The sequence below is a fragment of the Homo sapiens genome, chromosome 7 (assembly GCF_000001405.40).
Source record: "Homo sapiens chromosome 7, GRCh38.p14 Primary Assembly".
NCBI classification, from domain to species: Eukaryota; Metazoa; Chordata; class Mammalia; order Primates; family Hominidae; genus Homo; species Homo sapiens.
The window spans coordinates 94,557,521-94,580,039 of NC_000007.14; the positions used below are offsets into that span (position 1 = coordinate 94,557,521).

At 37.8% G+C, this 22,519-nt stretch overlaps 1 protein-coding gene and 1 long non-coding RNA gene across 5 annotated transcripts in view; one reads left to right on the top strand and one right to left on the bottom strand.

Annotated features, from left to right (window-relative positions):
- Positions 1–975, bottom strand: part of LOC105375404 (uncharacterized) — a 34,852-nt gene extending 33,877 nt beyond the window's left edge. The window contains exon 1 of the long non-coding RNA XR_007060433.1: positions 902–975. This is a non-coding gene — a long non-coding RNA (uncharacterized LOC105375404). The remainder of the gene's footprint in view (positions 1–901) is intronic.
- The window catches only part of CASD1 (CAS1 domain sialic acid O acetyltransferase 1), a 124,364-nt gene that overhangs the window by 47,712 nt on the left and 54,133 nt on the right, over positions 1–22,519 (top strand). The gene's annotated exons all lie outside the window — the stretch shown is intronic.

The window sequence follows — 22,519 nt, forward strand, 5'->3', positions numbered from 1 at the left end:
TTAGCTTGTAAGTTTTATCACCTGAAAAAGATTCTTCTTGATGAAACAATTGAAAAAGAAAGATGACCAGTCTCCCTGTGTATTTTGGAAGCACTTATGTCTTCAGTAGGGATGCCGCAGTGAATATATGCTTTTCTCTCCTATTTGAACTGAAGCCTAAAACTTACCTGGTGAGCCCTGTTTCTTCATCACTTGTTCTTATTTAATATAAAGCACTATTTTTTACATATAATTATATAATAATCTGTATAATTTAAAAATAATTTATTTGTAGTTAAAAATATTTTTTATATTTGATTTTCTTAATTAGTCTTAAAAGGTTATTGTGGAAGTTGCCACAATGATAGCACCTATATATACGGTAAATGTCTTAATATTTTATTTTCTGCATCGACTCAGATACTGACCATTTGCATTACTCAATCATACCATTCTTTAGAATAAGATTTTTAACAGGATGTTTAGATATGCTAAAGTTGAGATAAAACCACAGAGGTTCTCTAAATTCAGATTTTTCTGTAATAGAAATCACAGTCAGAAATCTACCATCTGGCTTTAAAAGGTACTTGCTTGACTGAATTCTACCTCAATCGTTCCTCCTTTCCTTTGCCAAAACTTCCCATTTTTGTGGGTAGCCAATAGAAGCATTAAAAATTCAGCCCATCTAAATTAATAATGTTTTACAAGGATGTGGGACCCAAGTTCATTTATTATTCTATTCTCGAATGACTTTATACTAAAACCTTAAAACGGGAATGCATCCTGGATATAGTCATTGATATCATAAACTGGATGTGTTCCATGGCTTGCATTGCAGACAATTCAGTGTTTTGTGTAATGAATTGGATGTACCACATGGGAGTCTGTTGCATAACAGGAGATTAGGTAGTATTGTACTTACAGATTTTTGGAACAGTTGAAAGAAATTCAATTCTTCACATCATTCAAGAGAAAAATTACCTTTTTAGCTTAATAGTGAAGACTGAAATAAAGATTGACAATTTTGGTTGGCAGTTCAATCCATCTTACCACTTTGAATATTTCTCTGCAAAGACATTCAAAAATGATTGCATACATTTATGACTTAATTTGTTCATTCTTGTGTTCATTCCCCAAATCATAATTGTGATTTGGGGAAACTTATTTGGCAAGGTGTATTCTGGCTCATTTTCTTATTCTAAAAATGGTTTCCAGAAAAGGAAGTGGTCGTCCAAACTATATTCCCAAAATTGTGGTGTTTGATGACTGATTTCCAGAATAGATTTCTTATTTTATTTAATTAATTAATTAATTTTTTGAGGCAGGGTCTTACTCTGTCACCTAGGCTGGAGTGCAGTGGCGTGATCTTGGCTTACTGCAACCTCCGCCTCCTGGGTTCAAGCAATTCTCCTGCCTCAGCCTCCTGAGTAGCTGGAATTACAGGTGCCTGCCACCATACCTGGCTAATTTTTGTATTTTTAGTAGAGTTGGGGTTTCACCCTGTTGGCCAAGCTGGTCTCCAATTCCTGGCCTCAAGCGATCCACCTGCCTCAGCCTCCCAAAGTGCTGGGATTACAGGCGTGAGCCACTGTGCCTGGCCTGATTTTCTGATTTTAAATCTTACAAAAATTTAATGGCACTATTTGTTCTGCCTTTCCATATTAATAGTCATAGTAGAAACAAGGAGACACAAATGGAAGCTATTTAACTGGCATTCAATGTGGTACCAGAACCTAAATATAACAATATTGGAATACCCAAATTCTGTATATATGTCTGTGTGTGTGTGTGTGTGTGTGTGTGTGTATGTGTGTGTGTGTGTGTGTATATATATATGTATATATATGGAATAATTTCTTTTACAATTACGCAGACATTTATGTTCAAAAGTAACCATTATGAACAATTTGGGGGAAATATGAAATGGAATAAAATACCCTTTGTCTTTCAGGGATTCAGCAGTAAAATTGTCCTGAGCACCTGACATTTTACATCTTAGTAAAAAAGATACTAAAATTGTTTTGCTTTTGTTTTGTTTTGTTTTGAGAGGCAGTCTCGCTCTCTTGCCCAGGCTGGAGTGCAATGGCGCAATCTCGGCTCACTGCATCCTCTGCCTCCCAGGTTCAAGCAATTCTCCTGCCTCAGCTTCCCAGGTAGCTGGGATTACAGGTGTGCACCACCATGCCTGGCTAATTTTTATATTTTTAGTAGAGACGGGGTTTCACCGTGTTGGCCAGGCTGTTGTCGAATTCCTGACCTCAGGTGATCCACCTTCCTCGGTCTCCCAAAGTGCTAGGATATAGGCGTGAGCCACCGTGCCCAGCCAAAAATGTATTAAAATTCTTATTTGGAATTCAAAGTAAAACTAAGAAAAATGGAATAATTAAATGTATTTTCCCTTTATTTTCAAATTAAAATATCTTCAATATTATACATGCCTATGTTATATTAAAAGCTTATACTATCATTCAGTAAAAATAAAGCTTGATTCTATATCTGGCAGTTTTGTTGGTTTGTTTTGTTGTTTTAATTCTTAGGCTTTGTCTTTCTCTTTTCTATCCATCCTTAGTACTTGATTTTTGACTGTAGCTCTTTCATAAGTAGGTTAGTATTTGTTTTGTTTTTAACAAGTCACAGGGTCAAAGTCCTGCTGATAGACGGAATGAATATGCCTTCCTTCATAAGACTAGACTAGACAGGTTTTTGAAGATAACTAATATTGGGAGTGGCATGATGTGTTTTTCTTAGGTTAGTCAGGAGAAAATAGTGGCAGTTATTTCTGGTGTTGAGAGAAAACTAGAACTAAGAATTCAGCACTTTCTTTCCTTGACCCCTTCCATTTTATCCCCACCTCTAGACCCTGTCACTGGGAGAGACAAAGTGATGGAAAAACATTTAGTTGAAGTCTGAGGAATCCAGTACTTCCAAAGTACGTAATGCATAAGGCACATGGAACTGGAGCCCTTTCTCAGAGACTACAAAATTAAAAATGGAAACTATAAAGAAGTAATACCTGGGCCAGAATATCCAGGAAAAGTTTTAGAGTAACGGGAGAAGTGGGATTTGTAAAGTTGTATATTTGGATATATTATTTACACTAATATCAGTGTGGAATGGATGCAAGAATATATAGATTAATGGATAGAATCAGCATAAAAACAGATTTTATCAAAAGATATTAGAATAAGGTAATGGTTTGATTTCACATTACTGGGGAAAGGTAGAAATATTCTTTAAATAGCCCTGGGACTATTGCTTAATTGAGGGGTGAGAGTGATAAATTCCCATTCTTACTCTGTATACCAAAAGAAATATAAAATGATTAATAGGTTTAAAGACATGTAAAATAAACAGTAGAAAATGTAGGTGAACATCTCATTCTTAGATGAGAAATGACCTGTTAAGGCTAAAAGGTAAATCCAGAATTGCTACATCTATTACGTGAAAATTTAAAATTTCAGTATGCCCAAAAACATAATAGAAAAAATACAAGTGGGAACATTTTAGAACATTAATATTTGATGAGAATTTAATGTCCTGGTTCGTGACCAGCCTGGCCAATATGGCAAAACCCCATCTCTACTAAAAATACAAAAAATTAGCCAGGTGTGGTGGTGGGGGCCTGTAATTCCAGCTACTTGGGAGGCTGAGGCAGGAGAATCGTTTGAACCCAGAGGCAGAGGTTGCAATGAGCCGAGATCACGCTATTGCACTCCAGCCTGGGCAACAAGAGCGAAACTCTGCCTCAAAAAAAAATTAATATCCTGGGTATATAGAGAGCTCTTATAGTTTAGAAACACCAAGCTGTTTTCCAAATTTCACTTGGTTCCTAATTCTACACAGAAGGTCACTTCATTCAGATACCTCAATGTTCATTACATAAATAATTTAACTTGGAAGAACATCAGGAAACCACAGTACTCAAAGTTAGGCTTTCTATGGATGCTTTTTGGGAATTGCGGGGAGGGCAAAGATTTTTTAATGGCCACTGTTATGCCTTCCTTAAACATTTTCCAAACTAAAATTAATTAAGACTAGGTTATATTGAGCAGAACTTTGGAACCTAAATGGCCCATCTGTCTGTGTGAGAGCACAGATTCAATTTTTTTTTTTCCTAAAGAGAACCTCGGTCAAACTCTAGAGTATTCTCTCAGAAACTACTGATTATTAAACTCAAGTTTGCCTAAAAGATGTCACTCCTACACCAGCTTAATGTCTCATTAAGACAGTTTTTCTTAGAACCCTAGGGTGGCTGAACTCCAGTCATGAACCGTCAGCTAGCTAATATCTATCTTCTGTGAGTTTGACTGTGGTTAACAGTATTTATAAAGGAATGTTAGGGATTTGCTTTTTATCACTTCCTCAGATACTTTAGAATGTACCTGAGAATTAAGTCTGGCAAGCACCTAGCAAAGACCGCCTGGACAGTAACTTCCTGACTTACCCCTAGAATTTCTCTTGAGTTTGAAGCCATTGGTTAGCATTGCAGGACATTCTATAAACAATTCTATGAAACTCATCATTGTGTCAACTGTAGGAATGTTGATTACATCACACAATGGGCTCTTTTTGTGGAGTCTGAAGTTATTCTGACCTTACTGTAATATTTGCACCTCTTGTAAACAGTTCATTTGCTACTATCTTAGGTACATTGTGAGTTGGCTTTTTATGTTTGCCGATAAGAAGCAAGAGCTAAATTTGTGCTCCATCTAGAAAACAGGGCACTTTGGTATTGTTTATATTAGTCTCATTCTTGATCCCTTTTTCCTTCTCATATACTTCAGATGATGTTATTTGGCTATATTTTGCCTAGCCTTATAAGCCATCTTACATTCTTTTTTGAAATGAGGCAGTCTGGTAGTCCTAAGTGTTTCTTCAGACCACACCAGTCAGGATGATCAAGAGTCATAGTATATACAAATGGTAGTAGTAATATTTTTGCCTCACTGGTTATGTTTGAAAATCCTAGTCTTCCAAGTCATTTATCTCCTCATTAGGGTCCCTGAGTTGCTCACGAAATGTCCCTATAACAAATGTTCACAGTTCTCTGCAATTTATGAAAATAAGGCCGAAAGTTCTCCTTATCCTGTTCACTTCATGTGTTTCTTTTCAGTCGATACAGTTTCCTTTTTTTTTTCTTTGAGATTACCAAAAATTCCAATGGTAGCTATGCCATTTCCTTCTCTAACTGCCAATTGTTTCCTCTTTTGAAATTGCTGCTCTGTGGACCAGATGTCAGGCTGCAAACTCAAGGTGTTGGTACACACTTGCCCTTATGACGTAGCAATAACCTCTTCTATGGATGCTTCTTACTGCCATGTCAACATGTTCCAGTCTGGGAGTGGTTTCATTTTAGACCAGGTGGTCTCCTACTGGGATGTAGTCTCAGCTGACCCCCTTTTTTTTTATGCCAGAGAATGCTGGAGGATTCAGGAAAATTCCTGTATTTTACAGCTTAGTTTTCCTGGCCCTTCAGAAAAATAAGAGACACCGGAACAACCTGATATGATGGTACCTAGAAGGAGTAAGATCTTCCTTATGCTCAACCCTATCTTACATACAAAGGCCTTTGTAGAAACAGCAGTATCACCTTTAGGGGGGTTCTGCTCTATGAATCTCCAATGATGTATGACAAAGTGAGTAGTGACTAAATTGCTGGAGAAATGAGTAGCAAGAAGGGACATGGAACCTGAAGACGTTGAGTGGACCACACAAGAAAAGTGGTTATACTACCTCCCTCCTTACCCCCTTTTCCAAATATCCTAAACGGAGGCAACATTAAAGAGGCGTCTTCCATGCAAGGGTCAGAAAAGGCCTCTGTGGAGATAATAGTTAAGCTCTGGAAAACTCTTATACATAGCTAAGGAATTTGAGGAAAAACAATTTTTTGGTGGTTTGGTCAATTAGAGAATGAAGCCATAACTAATTACTTACCACTTTCAATTTTTTTCTTAAAATGCCTGCTTATTTTTTTTTATCCTTGTGCAACTTAAGGGCTTGTCTTTTTCTTGGTAATTTAGAAGTATTCCTTGTGTAATAAGGATGAAAACTCTAATTTTGCAAACACTTTTCCCAGTTGCCAGTTGTCTTCTGTTTTGACTGTTATTTCTTACATTTTTTGTTTTATCAAATCCATACATTTTTCATTAATAGCACAGCCCTCATTTAGCCCCCCTCCCCCACGCCCCCGCTGAAAGCTGGCTACCATTTTTATCATTTGGTATATGTCCAGAGCAGTATCCCTAAGTGTGGAATGTGTTGCCCCCAGAACCCAAAGAGCCTACTAGGCACTAGGAGCTTCTTTCTTTGCAGTAGGGAATACAAGATGCAGCAATGTGTTTTTTATTTTGATGGACATGTCTTGTCATAGCCCTGACTGCTGGACTCTTAAAAAGTGTACTTAAGTGGCAAGACTACTAGTCTTTTAATGGCTTATTTCCCATACTCTAGAGTACGCATGTCTCACCAAGACCTCCAGTGTGATAACCAGTTTATGAGCATGATGTCCTCAACATAATCAACATAATATCCTATGGGATGTTTAGATAGTTTAGATCTCTTCAGACTATTTTATGACACAGCAAAAGAGTTACCATAGCGAAGAAGCAAATGAGTATTTTTGTCTCTTTCATGTGAATGCACACAATTTCTGATTAGAATGGAAAGAACACATTCACTAAGCCAGTAGACATGTACCTGAGGCCTTACTACTCTGCTCTAGCAATGAAACTGTGTCTGGCACAACAGTTGTGGTCCAGGCTACTGCTTGGTTGAGCTTGTTGTAGTGTACTGATATTCCTCAAGATCCATCTGGTTTCTGCAGGGCCAGACTAATGAATTAAAGTGATATGATAGGGACCACTATCCCTGCATTCTTTGGATCTTTAATGGTTGCACTAATACCTTCCATCACCCCTGGGATAAGAAATTGTAATTTACCGTCTTTGGCAGTTAGGGAGGCAGTTTCAAAGTCTTCCACTTGGCCTTCATCCTCTATGATAGCTCTTGCCCCACAGGCAAAGGACCCAATTGAGGCTAACTTCAATTTTCAAGTATATAAATTCCAATTATACATTCAGGAAATGACTGCAGGGTCCTGGCTAAAGTAGTAGTAAATGGGGTGCATGGTCCAACAGGATGGATCCATGGACATAGTGAACCTACTTTGGCCAGAACCCCATTTACTACTTAGTCTTTGCGTGCGCCCACTCTGAAGGCCATGAAAATACTTTGGGTCTTCATGTATCAATGTCAAATAGTTGTCAAAAAGGCTGGTTACTCTCCTTTTAACAGCAACAATCACATTAGTAAATGTCTGTAAATCTCTATGAGGGAAGAACTGAAGAAAGCTTTGCAGTACTCTATATCTTTGTCATTGCATTGCAGGGTTCTTTCTCTTGGGAAATTGGCTAACTCTTTAGGTAATGGGTTCCAGATCTGAACATAGTCTCAGATCTGGGAAATCAGCAAGGAATTGCAGTGCTTTATTGGGCTACAGCTCTCAGCCTCCTGCTCCTCTATTCTTGCCTTCTGGTTGTATATGTTAAGTAGCACAGTAATTCGCTGCCCATCTATTTTTCCCCTAGAGACACCATATTCTATTATCTATGTATACTACTCCTTCCCATTAAGACCCTTTGGCTACCCCCAAGACTCTAATGGTAAAGCAACTCTGACACTTATGTGCCACTACCTGGCCTCTATTATTTTGGGGCCTATCAACCCATTGTGAATAGCAAGACTAGTTCTGTGTATATTCCCAACCCATGTTTCAGAGTCCCAGGCTTCACATAAGGGTCCTAAATTTAGCGTAATAGACCTGCCTTGGCTGAGCATTTAAACACCTCTGGTGCTCTGTAACCCTAGTTATTAAATCCTGAACTTACCACCCACTGAAGGTATAGTTCCTCTTTGTAAGCGTCCTAAAAGGTCCTGTGGCTGTAAAACTTAGCTTATGTCTGTTAACTGCCTTCAGCTTCTCATCCTCCATCTACAGGACAGTCATACAAGTGAGCAATAACCCACTGACTTAACTGTCCCTGTAGGTGCTGTTCCTCCCAAAACCTTCAAATGCCTCAATTATCACATTAGTAAGGATGCTTCCCTCCACCAGGACATTCTCCCAGGTCACCACTAATGGAAATTTCAGCAATTAAGCTATCACCTATCCCAAGGACTTCATGATTCACATTCTGCTTAGTAAGGGCTTCTCGTTGCCTGCCGAGCATGAGTGAGCCAGTCTCCTAACCTCATCTAACCATATACATTCTCAGACCATTCCAGGTGCCAACTATGTCACTTTGGGTTCCCTAGAAGCAGACAGAATCATATGTGCAATACATTTGCTAAGGAAAATACTTGTGAAGGATAAAGGGGAAAGGTACCAGGGGTAGTCAGAGAATTGGGTAAGAAGAGCTTCAGAATGCAATGTAGTTTCAAGAAAGTCTTGGCTAGGATGATGGGGAGCTCCAAAACCAAGATTACCATTGGAAGTGTCAATCATTGAGCGGGAATGAGCTGGCTCTAGTACCGCTTCCATGCCCAGTCATTGGCTGGGATCAGCAGCCCAGGGAGAGCCAGGACTTCCTCACAATAGGTTTTTTGAAGGGAGAGCTGAGCAGCATATTTTCATGTCAACCACAAAGAATGAGGTGAGCATTTATAGTTAATAACAAATGAATGCAGAAATTTACAATTAAATTCATGGGCTTCATCAAAACACCAGAAATAAAACTGGGAATAGAATCATGTATATGTGAAAATTCTTAGTACAGTGTACATAGAATTTTATAAGCAAGGAAAGGAGGGAAACAAAATATAATTTAATTTTTATCTAATTTCTGATAAAGAATAGCTCAAGCATATAAACAAAAGAAAGCAAAATGAATGTGATTATAATACTTATAAAAAAGAAATATTTCTTAGTCAAAAGAAATGCTGCAAACAAAATTAAGAGTCAAATTGAAAAAAAAAACTTGACAAATAGACCACTTTTAACATCCTTACATAAAGAACTCTTACAATTTTTTTTAAACACAGGTTTTCTCCAACTTATGGCTGTTTCATAGTTGAATGATTCCATATAGTACTTTAATTCCATTACTTTGGTCTCCATTACATAAATAGTTTAACTTGGAGGGTGCATCAGGAAGCAACACTGCTTAAAGCTAGGCATTCTAATGGAAGCTTTATTGACTTTTCTCTCTCTTTTTTTCAAATGTGCCATAGTGGGCTTTTGGTTACACCTTCCTTAAACATTTAACAGAGTAAAATTATTGAGTCTGTGCTATATGGAGCAGAAATCTGGGCCCTCAATTGACCATTTGTCTGTGATTAAGAGCAAATTCAGTTTCTTCCTGAGGAGAACCTTAGCCAGGTCTTAACTACCCCTCGGCTCATCATGGTGTGGCAGTATGATGGCTCTTCTGGTTAGGCTTTTTAGCATGCAGAAATATTTCTCCTAACCCTGGTGGATCCTCTAGCAGTTTATACTTGAATTTGTACTCTCAATCATCCAAACAGAATGGCTATACTCCAGATATTTACCAGAGGTGTTACACACTTTCACATTTATTCTGCTAACTGTGATGTTTAGTCTTACTGCTTCCATCCTTTTTTTTTTTTAATCTTTCTGTTACAGATTTATTTCCTATTGGAACCAAGTCTGTGAGTTCACACCCACATACCAGATTTTGCTTCGTGATTGTCAGAGGCTAGAACTCATCCATCTTGTTTAATATGTATTTTTTGTTGACTGCTCTTTATTATAGTGATTTATTTTTCTCTTTTCTAACATGTTGAAATGGCCTAGTTTTTATTTATTCTCTATTGATTTGAGCCTCCTATGCCCTGCTTCTGTCATACCAGTGGTTACCTTATCTTTCTTCAGAATTCTAATATCTGAGTAGGGCCATGTAAAAGAAAGACATATTATTGAAACAAAAATGAAAATTGCCATGAGCCCCTTTTTTACCTCATGAAGCATGTGTATACTTCATTTTTGGCAAGGTACTAGCCTTGAAAATACCAGTGCAGTAAGGGGATTTCAGAAAGAAGACACCAGAGAGTTTGTAAGCCCCTGTCTCTCAACATTGTGGTCATCTTTAAAATACCAGGGAAGCTATGTGGAGAGAACTGAAATAGGAATGTCTACTGTTGCCAGCCTATGCCTGCTAGCTTCTTTTTTCAAAGGCAAGGTCCTTTATTATTTCCTTGTTATGTATGTATTTTTGAATAGGGAATAAATTTAGATGGTTCAAAAATAAAATATTAAGGGCAGATAGTGAAAAGTTTTATTTTTCCTCTACAATTCCTCATCTACCTAGTTCCCATGACTACTACTCCCCAACTACACACAGCCAGTCTTACTAGCTTTTTATGTATTCTTACAGAGTTCCTTTATACATTATAAGGAAATGGAAATATATATTCCTTTAACATTTATCCTAAATTAACGTATAAAGTTCATATGATTCCAACATGAATATCAACAGGTTTTTTAAGAAATAAGCTGATTCTGAATTGTATTTGGAAAAATAAGAATTGCAAGAAAACCTCTGATTTAAAAGAAGAGCAGTATGGGAGGGTACTTTCACCAGAAATAAAAATGTATTATTTTATAACATTGTATGAAATAATATATTAGAAAGCCTCTCTAATTAAAACTGTGTGGAGCTAATGCATGAATAGCTAGTGATACAGAGTAAAAAGTACATAAATCGTCCCATACATGTCTATGAATTTAGTATATGCTATAGGTAGCAACTCAAGTCAGTTACAAAAAAGATGGATTGTTTAATAAATAATACTGGCAAGAAGGTTGTCATTTTAAACAAAATTAAGTTGGATCCCTACCATACATCATAAAAGTATAGAAAAAATACAAATGATATCCTGTATTACTTTGGAATGATAAAGTATTCTTTATTCAAAAACTATTCAAAATCCAGAAGTCATAAAAGATTGACAAAATCTGCTATGTTAGAAAAAAATTTTTGCAAAGCAAAAACAAGTAAATCCAAAGATAGACTGAGAAAAGGCATTTGTATCTTATATTATAGACAAAAGGCTAATCTCCCCAAAATGTAAAGACTTCCTAGGCATTGATGATAAAAGAACAAACGACAGATAAGTGAAGTGGGTGCTATGGTCTGAATGTGTATGAATTAATATGTTGAAACCTAATCACCAATGTGATGGTATTTGGAGATTGGGCCTTTGGGAGATGATTAGGTCCTGAGGGCAAACCCTCATGAATGGGATTATTGCCCTTATAAAAGAAGCCCCAGAGAGTTTCCTTGCCCCTTCCACCATGTGTGGACACAGAAAATGGCTATCTAGGAATCAGGAAATGGACCCTTTCCAGACATCAACTCTACCAGCACTTTGATCTTGTACTTCCTAGCCTTCCATACTGTGAGAAATAAATTTCTGTTGTTCATAAACTACCCAGTCTCTGGTATATATTATAGCAGCCCAAATGGACTAAGAGGGGAAGCAGTATAAGCAAACTATTCACAGAAAGGGAAATATTAATGCCTTTGAAATATACGATAAGATACAAGTTGATAAGACACTGTGTTGAGTGAAGGTTATGGCAGGACAGCACAGATGCATTGCTGTGGGAATATAAATTCCTAGGGTCCCTATGGAGGGCAGTCTAGATATACATATTAAAAAATGCATATACCACATCTGGTAACTTATACTCATATTGGTGGAAAAGGGTATATAAATAAGGTCATTCACTGCAGTATTACTTGTAATTGTAATTGACTGTACAATTGATAATTGTAATTGGAACTAACATCATCAATAAAGGAATAGTGGATTGATGATGTGGTAACCATGCTATATAACACCATGTAGTGCTAACAAAGAATGGGGAGATTATGTATTTATAGGGAAAAATCCCAAGGAATATTGCTAAGTGAAAAAAAAATTTCAGAAATCTGAGTATATTTTGTTTTTAAAAAGACAGGGTCTCACTCTGTCACCCAGGCTGGAGAGCAGTGGTGCAGTTTTGGCTCACTGCAGCCTCAACCTCCTGGGCTCAAGTAATCCTCCTGTCTCAGCCTCCCAAGTAGTTTAGCACCTCTGTGCTTGGCCAATTTTTAAATTTTTTGTATAGATAGGAGTCTATCTATGTTGTCCAGACTGGTCTAAAAATCCGGGCCTCAAGTGGTCCTCCCACCTCAGCCTCCCAAAGTACTAGGATTACAGGTGTGAGCCACCACACCAGGCATGAAGTGTGTCTCTTGTAGACAGCATATCGTTGTATCATTAAAAAAACTCCATTCTACCAATCTCTGACTTTTTTTTTTTTCTTTTTTGAGACAGAGTCTTACTCTGTCACCCAGGCTGGAGTGCAGTGGTGTGATCTCGGCTCACTGCAAGCTCTGCCTCCCGGGTTCATGCTATTCTCTTGCCTCAGCCTCCCAAGTAGCTGGGACTACAGGTGCCCGCCACCATGCCCAGCTAATTTTTTGTATTTTTAGTAGAGACAGGGTTTCACCATGTTAGACAGGATGGTCTTGATCTCCTGACCTTGTGATCCGCCTGCCTCAGCCTCCCAAAGTGCTGGGATTACAGGCGTGAGCCACCGCACCTGGCCCAATCTCTGACTTTTCATTGCAAAGTTTAATCCATTTAAAATACGAGGATTTACTTCTGCCATTTTATTAATTATTTTCTGCCTGTCTTATTATTTTTTTGTCCCCTATTTCCTCCACTACTGCCTCTTTTCATGTTTAGTTGATTTTTCTGTAGTGAAAGGTTTTGATTCCCTTCTCACTTCTTTTTGTGTACCTTCTATAATTATTTTCTTTGTTATTACTATGGTATTCATATTTAACATCCTAAATTTGAATTGATAACTGCAATAGCATACAAAATCTCTGCTTCTATACAACTGTATCCCCTTTTATGTTATTGATGTCACAAATTACATTTTTATGCATCGTGTGCCCAATAATATAGATTTATGTTTTACAAATTTGTCTTTTTTTGGCGGGGGGATGGAGTCTCCCTCTGTCACCCAGGCTGGAGTGCAGTGGCATGATCTCGGCTCACTGCAACATCCACCTCCCAGGTTCAAGTGATTCTCCTGCCCCAGCCTCCTGAGTAGCTGGGACTACAGACGTGCACCACCATGCCCAGTTAATTTTTCTATTTTTAGTGGAGACCGGGTTTCACCATGTTGGCCAGGCTGATCTCCAACTCTGGACCTCAGGTGATCCAACCACCTTGGCCTCCCAAAGTGCTGGGATTACAGGAATGAGTCACATGTCCAGCCCATGGTTGTCTTTTAAATCATGTAGAAAATTAAAAGTGGAGATATAAAGCAAAATTACAATAGTATCAGCTTTTTTATTTGCTGATGTATTTAACTTTACTGGAGATCTTTATTTCTTTATATGGCTTTGAGTTACTGTTGAGAGTCCTTTACCCTGAAGTACTACCTTGAGCATTTCTTGTAAGACAGGTCTATTGGTAAGAGAATGCTTCAGCTTTTCTTTATCTGGAAATGTCTTAAATTCTCCTTTTTTTTTTTTTTTTCTTTTTAGACAGAGTCTCACTGTGTCACCAAGGCTGGAAAGCAATAGTGCAATCACAGCTCACTGCAGTCTTGACCTCCCAGGCTTAAGTGATCCTCCCACTGCAGCCTCCCAAGTAGCTGGTACCACAGGCCCATGCCACCATGCCTGGCTAATTGTTTAATTTTTGTAGAGACAAGGTCTCCCTATGTAGCCCAGGCTGATCTTGAACTCCTGGGCTCAAGCAATCCTCCTGCTTCAGCCTCCCAAAGTACTGGGATTACAGGCATGAGCCACCATGTCCAGTCACACACTTCCCACCCCCATTTTTGAAGGACAGTTTTGCCAGACATAGAATTCTTAGTTGACAGGTTCCGCACTGCCCCCACCCCTGCAGGATGTAATAATTATGAGGAGCTTGATCCAGAAAACCTAAACTGCCTTGAACTTATTTTTAGTAGAAATTTGGATTTTAAGGGTGCTGCCAGTGAGGGCTCAAAAGAAAATAAGAAACAGTATTTGAACCTACATGAAGGGAGGTTCTTGTCATGTAGTGGTAGAAAGCTTAGGGAAATTGTTTCCTGGAAACAGAACTCACAAATGGTAAACTTAGATACGTAGTTAAAGATATTTCCAAGCAAGGTATTGAAGATATGCCTGGTTTGCTTACAGTAAAAAGTGAGAGAAAGGAGACAAAAAGTAACCAAGACTGGATGACTTTTAAAATTCCAGCTTCTCTGTGTGGCAAAATAAGCCTAGAATCAGAAATGGCTGCCAAAAGTGTGGCACAAAAAGATGGTCAAGTGTATGACTGTACAACCTTTTACTAAAACCTCAAAAAAAAAAAAAATGGTCAGAAGATGAAGTTGTATAAATGACATTTGCAAGAGATTAAGTTTGTGCCTTACAGATCTTCCCAAACTAGGGGGCTTCTAGGAAACATAGAAGTGGTGTCCCTCAGCAGGAGGCCAAAATAGAGAAGGAATTCTCTCAAAAACATCTGGGATTGTGGCTTTTGTCTAATGAAGTTAATATCCATGAAATCCATGGGATGCCCTTAACATTTTTTCTTTCATTTTGACCTTGGAGAAGCTGATGATTATGTGTCTCAGGGTTGATCTTCTCCTGGAGTATTTTACTGGGACTCTCTAGATTTCCTAAATGTGAATGAGATTACAGACATGAGCCACCATGCCTGGCTAATAATTTTTACCTTAAAGTTTATTTTTCTGATATCATATTCCAGCTTTCTTTTGGTCAACATTTTCCTGGAATATCTTTTCTTCTGTAATTTCACTTTCAACTTATTTGAGTCTCTGAATCTCAGTTGTGTCTCTTGAAGACAACATATAGTTGGATTATGTTTTTTTGTTGGCTTGGCTTGGTTGGTGGTGGTATATAGGAATGCTAGTGATTTTTGTACATTCATCATTTCTCTAATGATCAGTGATATTGAACTTTTCTTCATATGCTTGGCCACATGTATGTGTTCTTTTGAAAAGTGTCAATTTATATCCTTTGCCCACTTTTTAATGGGGTTGTTTGTTTTTCTCTTGTAAATTTGTTTAAGTTCCTTATTGATGCTGGATATTAGACCTTTATTAGATGCATAGTTTGCAAGTATTTGCTCCCATTCTGTAGGTTGTCTGTTCACTTTGTTGATAGTTTCTTTTGCTGTGCAGAAGCTCTTTAAGTTTAATTAGATCCCATTTGTCATTTTTTTGCTTTTGTTTTGATTGCTTCTGGTGTCTTTGTCATGAAATCTTTGCCCATTCCTATGCCCAGGATGGTATTGCCTAGGTTGTCTTTCAGGGTTTTTATAATTTGGGGTTTTATATTTAAGCCTTTAGTCCATCTTGAGTTGATTTTTTATATGGTGTAAGGAAGGAGACAAATTCCAATCTTCTGCATATGGCTAGGCAGTTATCCTAGCACCATTTATTGAATAGGGAGTCTTTTCCCCATTGCATGTTTTGTCAGCTTTGTTGAAGATCAGATGGTCATAGGGGTGCAGTCTTATATCCTCTATTCTGTTCCATTGGTCTGTGTTCCTGTTTTTGTACCAGCACCATGCTGTTTTGGTTACTGTAGCACTGTAGTATAGTTTGAGGCATCAGGTAACACAGTGCCTCCAGCACTGTTCTTGGTGCTTAGGACTGCTTTGGCTATTCAGGCTCTTTTTTGGTTCCATATGAATTTTAAAATAGTTTTTTTTCTAGTTCTGTGAAGAGTGTCATTGGTAGTTTGATGGGAATAGCACTGAATCTGTAAATTGCGTTGGGCAGTATGCCCATTTTAATAATATCGGTCCTTCCCGTCCATGAGCATGGGAAGTTTTTCCATTTGTTTGTGTCTTCTCTGATTTCTTTGAGCAGTGTTTTGTAATTCTCATTGTAGAGATCTTTCACCTCCCTGATTAGCTGTATCTTAGGTATTTTATCCTTTTTTCTGGCAATTGTGAATGGAATTGCCTTTCTGATTTGGCTCCTGGCTTGGCTGTTGTTGGTGTATAGAAATGCTAGTGATTTTTGTACATTGATTTTGTATCCTGAAACTTTGCTGTAGTTGCTTATTAGTGAAAGGAGCTTTTGGGCTGAGACTATTGGGTTTTTCAGGATGTAGAATCATGTTTGTCTGCAAACAGAATAGTTTGATATCCACTTTTCCTGTTTGGATGCCCTTTATTTCTTTCTCTTGCTTGATTGTTCTGGCTAGGACTTCCAGTACTATCTTGAATAGGAGTGATGAGAGAGGGAATTCTTGTCTTGTACTGATTTTTAAGGAGAATGCTTTCAGCTTTTGCCCATTCAGTATAATGTTGGCTGTGGGTTTGTCATAGATGGCTCTCATTATTTTGAAGTATGTTCCTTCAATACCTAGTTTATTGGGAGTTTTTAATATGAAGTGGTGTTGAATTTTATTGAAAGCCTTTTCTGCATCTATTGAGATAACCATATGGTTTTTGTCTGTACTTTTGTTTATGTGATTAATCACATTTATTGATTTGTGTATGTTGAACCAACTTTGAATCCCAGGATGAAACCTACTTGATTGTGGTGGATTAGCTTTTTGATGTGCGCTGGATTCAGTTTGCAAGTATTTTGTTGAGGATTTTTGCATCAATATTCATCAAGGATATTGGCCTGCAGTTTTCTTTTTTGTTTTATGTCTCTGACAGGTTTTGGTATCAGGATTATGCTGGCCTCATAGAATGAGTTGAGGAGGAGTCCCACCTCCTTAATTTTTTGGAATAATTTCTATAGGAATGATACCAGCTCTTCTTTGTACATCTGGTAGAATTTGGCTGTGAATCCATCAGGTCCAGGGCTTTTTTTGGTTGGTAGGCTACTTATTACTGATTCAGTTTTGGAGCTTGTTATTAGTCTGTTCAGGGAATCAATTTCTTTCTGATTCAGTCTTGGGAGGATATATGTGTCCAAGAATTTATCCATCTCTTCTACATTTTCTAGTTTGTGTGCATAGAGGTATTCGTAGTAGTTTCTGATGGTTAGTTTTATTTCTTTGTGGTCAGTGGTAACATTCCCATCATCATTTCTGATTGTTTTATTTGGATCTTCTCTCTTTTCTCCTTTATTAGTCCAGCTAGCAGCCATCTATCTTAATGATTTTTTTCAAAAAAAAAAAAAATTCCTGAGCCGGGTGTGGTGGCTCATGCGTGTAATCCCAGGACTTTGGAAGCCTGAGACGGACGGATCATGAGATCAGGAGATCAAGACCATCCTGGCTAACACGGTGAAACCCCGCCTCTACTAAAAATACAAAAAATTAGCCGGGCATGGCAGCGGGCACCTGTAGTCCCAGCTACTTGGGAGGCTGAGGCAGGAGAATGGCATGAACCCGGGAGGCAGAGCTTGCAGTGAGCCAAAATCATGCCACTGCACTCCAGCCTGGGTGACAGAGGGAGACTCCATCTCAAAACAAACAAACAAACAAACACCCCAATTCCTGGATTTGTTGATCTTTTGAATGGTTTTTCATGTCTCAGTCTCCTTCAGTTCAGCTCTAATTTTGGTTATTTCTTGTCTTCTGCTAGCTTTGGGGTTGATTTGTTCTTGTGTCTTGAATTCTTTCAGTTGTCATGTTAAGTTGTTAATTTAAGATCTTCCCAACTTTTTGATCTGGGTATTTAGTGCTATGAATTTCCCTCTTAACACTGCCTTAGCTGTGTCTCAGAGATTCTGGTATGTTTTATCTTTGTTTTAATTATTTTCAAAGAATTTCTTGATTTCTGCCTTAATTTCATTATTTACCCAAAAGTCATTAAGGAGCATGTTGTTTAATTTCCATGTAATTGCATGGTTTTGAGTGATTCTCTTAGTCTTAGCATCTGTTTCTTTGTGCTCTGGTCCCAGAGAGTGTTTGGTATGATTTCCATTGTTTTGCATTTGCTGAGGATTGTTGTATGTTCAATTATATGGTCAATTTTAGAGTATGTGCCATGTGGTGATGAGAATGCATACTCTGTTTTTTTGGGTGGAGAGTTCTGTAGAGGTCCATCAGATCCATTTGGTCCAGTGTTGAGTTCATGTCCTGAATATCCTTGTTAATTTTCTGCGTCAGTGATCTGTCTAATACTGTCAGTAGGACTCCCTTTAATATTTCTGGTAGGGCAGGCTTTCTAGCATTTCTTTAGTTTGTGTTTATCTGGGAATGTCTTAAATTCTTCTTCAGTTTTTCAAAATAAGTTTGCTGGATATAAAATCTTTGGTTGATGATTTTTTCTCCCAAGGACTTTGAAAATGTCATCCCACTGCCTTCTTGCCTACATGGTTTCTGATGAGAAATCCACTGTTAATCTTGTTGAGGAGCCCTTGCACGTATTGAATTACATTTTTCTTGCTGCTTTCAAGAGGCTTTCTTTGTCTTTGTCTTTCAATAGTTTGATCATGATGTGTCTAAGTGTGGATCTCTGAGTTTGTCCTACTTGGAGGTCATTGAGCTCTTGAATGCGTAATGTTTTTCATAAAAGTTTTGGAAGTTTTGGCCATTGTTTCTTGATGTATTCTTCCTGTCTGTCTCTTGCTCTCTCTCTCTTCTCCTTCTGAGATTCCCATTATGCATATGATGATATGCTTATGGAATAAGACAGGTCTCTCAAGCTCCATTTATTTACTTTCATTCTTTTTTCGTTTTATTCCTCAGACTGGATAACCTCAGTTGTCCCATATTCAAGTTTGCTGATTCTTTCTGCTGCCTGCTCAAATCTGCTGTTAAATCTTTGGGCAGGAGGATTGGGTTGCTCAAATCTTACACATTTCAAAGAAATGTTTATCTTCAGGCCTGGCCATTGGCTGGCCCCTGGAAGGTAGCCTCTGAGCCCTTGGAATATTCTTCCTCATATGAGTTTCTGTATGCCCGAAGCCCTGAACCATGCTGTATTTATGGTATTTATTGTAAACACCTGTTTTTGTATGATTAAGCCCTTGGGCTACACTGTACCAGTTTGACTGGATAAGTTTATCCTAGAAAAGTGATTTATGATGAATGCCTGGTTTTGCTCTGTGGTGAAGACTGGATGGAGTCTGAGTAGCTGAGGTCATTCATATGGGCACTGCATGCCTATGTGACTGACCCCCAACAAAAACTCTTGATACCAAGGCTTCGGTGAGCTTTCCTAGCAACACTTCACATGTGTAGTCACACATTCCTCCTGGAACAATTAAGGACATCCCTATGTGACTCCACTGGGAAGGGTTACTTGGAAGTTTGAACTTGATTTCTCCTGGACTTAATCCATGTAACTCCTCCCTCTGTCAACTGTGATATATCCTTTTGCTGTAATAAACTGTAACCATGAATATGGCAGTGTCTGAGTTCTGTGAGTCTTTCTACTGAATCATTGAACCTGAGTATGGTATTGAAAATTCCCAATACAGCCCATGTAGTGAAGTTTTCATCTCAGTTATTTTCCTGTTTATTTCAGAATTTCTGTTTCTTATAATTTATATCTTTTTATTGATATTCTCTATTTGTTGGGATATTAGTCTCATACTTGCATTTAGTTCTTTAGACACAGTTTCTTTTAGTTCTCTAGATATATTTGAAATAACTGATTTAAAGTACTTGCCTAGTAGGTCCAACTTCTATGTTTCCTGGGCAGTTTCTATTCATTGATTTATTTCCTATGTATGGACCATGCTTTCTTGATTCTTTGCACCTTTATATGTGGTTTTGTGTGTTTTTGAAAACTGGATCTTTTAAATAATATGGTGGTCCTGGAAATCAGATTATCCTCCCCACTTCTGCTCCCCAAAGCGTTGTTTTGTGACTTTTGTAAACTAATCCTTTAAAGTCCATATTCTTTGTCATGTGTAGCCACTGAAGTCTCTGCTTAGTTATCTTAGTGGTCAGCTAATAATTAAACAGATATTTTCTTACATGCCTTTGCGAAGGAGTTCTGTGTGAATGTTGGGGAATGCTTTAAAAACTGAGACAGGCAGTTGATAGCTCTGTGTTAGCATTCACTGTCTGATTGCACAGAGACTCAGGATTATCCCAAGGTGAGAGCATAGGGCCTTCTTAGGTCTTTCCTGAGCAGTCACACAGCCCTACACATTCATGTGTAGATTCCAAAAAGATAATGAAACTTTTCAAAGCCTCTATGGAAATCTCATTCCCTAAGCTTTTCCTGGTAAGTTCTTTGGTTAATCAATTGTTTGTCCCAGTTGTTATCCACAATTTTAGGCAGCTGGAAAGTTTATAAATTGCCTGTGTTTTCAAAAATACCCCAGGGAAAATGTTTTTATACTGGGAGAGCTCTGAGTCAGGTCAAATAAAGACAACTTTGCAAGTGGGTCATCAAGGGAACTACCAGACAGGTAAAATGACAATTCTCTTCATTAGAGGCTTAGAAGGAACTCTACCTTTGTTCTGTCTCTTTTGGGAGCTACCAAACAGCTGGTTTTCACCATGATTGCAGAATGTTTTCAAAGCTACTGTGGTGCTAGAGAGGGAAAGATGAGAATAGGGCCAGGTAAAGTGCCATGAAGCTTGCCGTTCTTACCAAGATTCTACTGTTTTTCCTGAATAAACCCACCCTGGATTGCTAAAAGTGTAGCAAAGTTTGGTTAACTTCTAGAGTTTTACATTTTTTAATGCTGACAATTTTTACCAGTTTTCTTATTTGTTGAGAAGAGAGTTTTCTGTCTTTACCATCTTTACAAACCCAGAGTAATTTAAAAATGTAAATTGCATGTTATTTTTCTACTTCAAATGCTTTATTTCCAATGTTTTTAGAATAAAATCCAAACTCCACAATCAAAGTCTATAAGACTAATAGGACTCCGTTTACATCTCCAGAATCATCTTTAATCCCACTTCCGCCTCATCAATATGTTCCAACAACACAGAGATCCTTCATGTTCTTGAGAGTCAAGTGTTACCTAGCCCAACTGCCTGTAGTATATAAATAATTGGTTTCTGACCATTCTGTTGGTCCTCCACTTTTTTTCTGTTGGCCTTCTTTTCACCCCAAATTCAAGTATATTGGATAAGAGCCCCCCACCCATTTGCCAGTCTCAGTAAAATTAAATTATATCTCACAGGTCCTACTGAGTCAGAGGTCTAAACCCTGACCTGAGAGATGCAGTGTTCTGATTAGCCAGACCTGAGATCTGGTGCAAGGTGTGGAGTCACCTTAAATGGAAGTACCTGGCTGGAAATTAGAGCAGAAATGTTTGTGTAGAGAAAAAATGTAAAGTTGCTAGAAGAAGGGTAAGTTGATACTGGGCAGAAACCACAACCACCTGTTTTCATTACATTGCCTTTGGGTCTGTGCCCATGCTGTTTCCTCTGACCAGAATGCTAAGCATGAGTGGCACATGATTAGTCTTCAAATTATGTCTTAAATATTTTCTCTTTAGATAGACCTATTCTGATCATTTAATCCAGGTAGCTTCCTTTCCTCATTCTCTATTACAACACTTTTTTTTAACCTTCATAACTTTTATATTAGACATTAGGTTAATTCTGTCAGCAAATATTTACTTAGCACCAACTAGTACCAGATAGTGTACTAGACTTCGTTCATCTTCCATAATACACTATGTTTTATTCACCAGTGCATAGTTCAATGCCTAGAACACAAAAGGTCCTAAGTCAGTATTCACTCAATGAATGAATGAAAGGGCCCTGATACTCAATCCAATAACATTTTTAAATGTTAAAAAAAAAAAAAAAAGGAAAGGGGGTATGTTATTCTACTAGGCCAGTTTATCTCAATCTTTCTTCATTGTCCTAACATTTAATTTGCTTTAGGCACATGCATGGACTCCCAAATTAAGGTAATAAGAATCTTAATCACATAAAAATTAAACATAATATGAAAACTACATGATAAACTGCCTAAAATGTACTGCACCCTATTAATTGACTGCAAAGTGAGATCATCTGATCACAGAAATCCTTGGAGCAAATGAACAACCTTTAAAAATGTAAGATTTATTAAGAAAGTAATAAAATTTGTACAAAAATAATAAGTAATGTTGTATTTTAATTTTGTGAAATGTCAATAAAATACCATCTCAGACTTTCCCTGATCGTTAGATTCTGGCAAATATCCAACTTCATGTACCTTATCTTTTTTGCTATTGGAGAAATAATTGCAACACACTTTAGCTGCTGCATGAATGTTCAGATGACAAAATGAGCACCAGTTTTCTCATCAGATCCTGTGGTTTCAGTGAAAACCCATATCCAGATGACTTACCAATCATAGCACCAGTCCGAACCTCTACTCTGAGTTTCAAATTCATATATTCAATTGCCTACTAATTTTGGTTTTCTCAGAGGTACCTCAAGTTCACTTTGCATAAAACTAAGCTCATATTATTTCCTCAATCCTGATTCTCATCCACTATTGTCTATCACAATGGATATTGCCACCATTTGACCAAGAAGAACCCACACGTCAGAATTGGCTCCTCTCTGTTCCTCAACACTATTTCCAAAGTATCAATGTAACAACAACTGCTGCCTTTTTACCT